Below are 2,165 nucleotides of genomic sequence, written 5' to 3' on the forward strand. Positions count from 1 at the left end.
CCCCCTTTCCTGAAATCCGTAGAGTGACTGACTGCTTTCTTGAGTGAATCTGGACTGGGCCACATGATGATCGCTGTACAGAGCAGCTGAGCTCCTCTGTCTCAGCCTCCCTGAGTTCACAGCAGGCTCTGGGCATCATCTCCGTGTCATCCTAAGGCCACGGGCGGGGTTCCCACCAAACAGGAGAGCAGCTCTCCCGAGATGAAGCCTTCTGATAGCCCTAGAACCAAGAGGAACCGTGTGGGGTTGGGTGGGGTGTTTACTGTGCACTCCTGATGTTCCCTCCCAGTGAAGGACACCCACCTGGGACACTGTGGCCCCTGGCCCTCCCTCCCTCCCCTCGGTGGCAGAGAGAACTTCCTGGTGGGTGACAGCCCATGGTCCACCCTTGCCAGGTGGATTCAGGCAAAATACGCCAGGCTGTGTGCTGAAGGCATCCCATCTCTTCCTCGTCCCCTCTCGGCTGGATCGGGGTGGGGCAGCGGGTGGTGAGTGTGTCTGTCCTGCCAGTTCAGCCTCCAACTGGTCTGCTGTGGGGCAGGAGCCCACCTGGCTCTCCTGCAGAGCTGCATGGCCTGCCTTGCCTCACCCGTGACAACAGAGACTTTGGTTCTCCATCTGCAGACGCATTTGTCTTGTTTCTTATTCGGTCCAGAACTCGGGTGGGAAGAAGGGTGATGTTATTTGGGTCCCCTCAAGACCTTGACAACAGATAGTTTTTAATATCACATTTTAAAGCCGCCAACTTTCTCTCCTCCACTTTGGTATTTCCCTGATTTTTAAACAGAATGTCGGCTCTGGAGGCAGAAAGCTTGGGCTTGGATCTGGGCCCTGCCACGCAGTAGCTATGTGGCCAGGGAATACATAGCTTCCGGATCTCCGATCCCTACAGTAAAGTACAGATAAAAATACTTTTCATTGATGTGTTTGAAATCGAATGAGATAGTTAATGAATGAGTAAGTGCTCTGCAAACTCCAGAGCGGGGTGCGCGTTCTGATCTGTTTCATAGAATCTGACACGTACCCTTTCCCACCCCAGCGTCTCTGAATTGGGATGCATCTGACAGCAAGTGTGGCATCCGGGCTGCAGTTGCCGTTGTCTGCTCACATGTGAATTAAAAAAACAATCTCAGCATATGAAATCTCTAATCGCGTATGAACTTGGTGGTTATTCCTGGTGCCGTGTGGATAACTGCAGCCTCAACACCCCAGTCCACAAACCACGTACGGACCAACTGAGGAAGGAGTAGGGGTTCTTGTTGTTGCAGAAAACCCTCCCTCAACTTGCTCTAGAAGATACCAGCATTCATACTTGGAGTGGGCATCAGCAGCTTGGAAGACACAGCAGTGGGCCCCTCTTAGCAGGAGTGCCCCATCTCATGGCTCCCGACGACGACCCAGAGGGTGATGCTGCGTAGGGGCTCACGGACATTGGCACTCTAAGTCAGAGATGCTCAGGTGAAGGGGGCTCTGATGGTGAGGACATTCAGAAATAACAGAGATTGGCTGGGTACGGTGGCTCACACCTGTAATCCCAGCACTTTGGGAGGGAAGCCGAGGCAGGTGGATCACTGGAGGTCAGCCTGGCCAACATGGTGAAACCCCGTCTCTACTAAAAATACAAAAATTAGCTGGGCGTGGCGGCATGTGTCTGTAATCCCAGTTACTCGGGAGGCTGAGGCAGGAGAATTGCTTGAACCTGGGAGGCAGAGGTTGCAGTGAGCCAAGAGTGCGCCACTGCACTCCAGCCTGGGCAACAGAGCGAGACTCTTTGTCTCAAAAAAGAAAAAAAAAAGAAACAACAGAGACTTATTTTACTTATGTTTTCCTCTTTTCTGTGTGTATAATGAGAGAAATTAGGATGCCAAAAAAAAAAGAAAAGAAAAGAAAAGAAAAACCAAGGCCTTCTAAGTCTATAAAAATTTTTTAAGTAATTTTTTTTTTTTTTAAGAGACAGGGTCTTGCTCTGTAGCCCAGGCTGGGGTGCAGCAGTGCAATCCCAGCTCACTGCAGCCTTGAGCTCCTGGGCTCAAATGATCCTCCCACGTTGGCCTCCCAAAGCATAACACATTTTAAAATAAAATTATAGATAATAAGAAAGCATTGTGTTAAAGTTTAATTGGCAGCATTTTAAATTCTTTCTTACTGAGTTCCAGTTTTAAGCT

This window comes from Homo sapiens, chromosome 1, assembly GCF_000001405.40.
Source record: "Homo sapiens chromosome 1, GRCh38.p14 Primary Assembly".
NCBI lineage: Eukaryota > Metazoa > Chordata > Mammalia > Primates > Hominidae > Homo > Homo sapiens.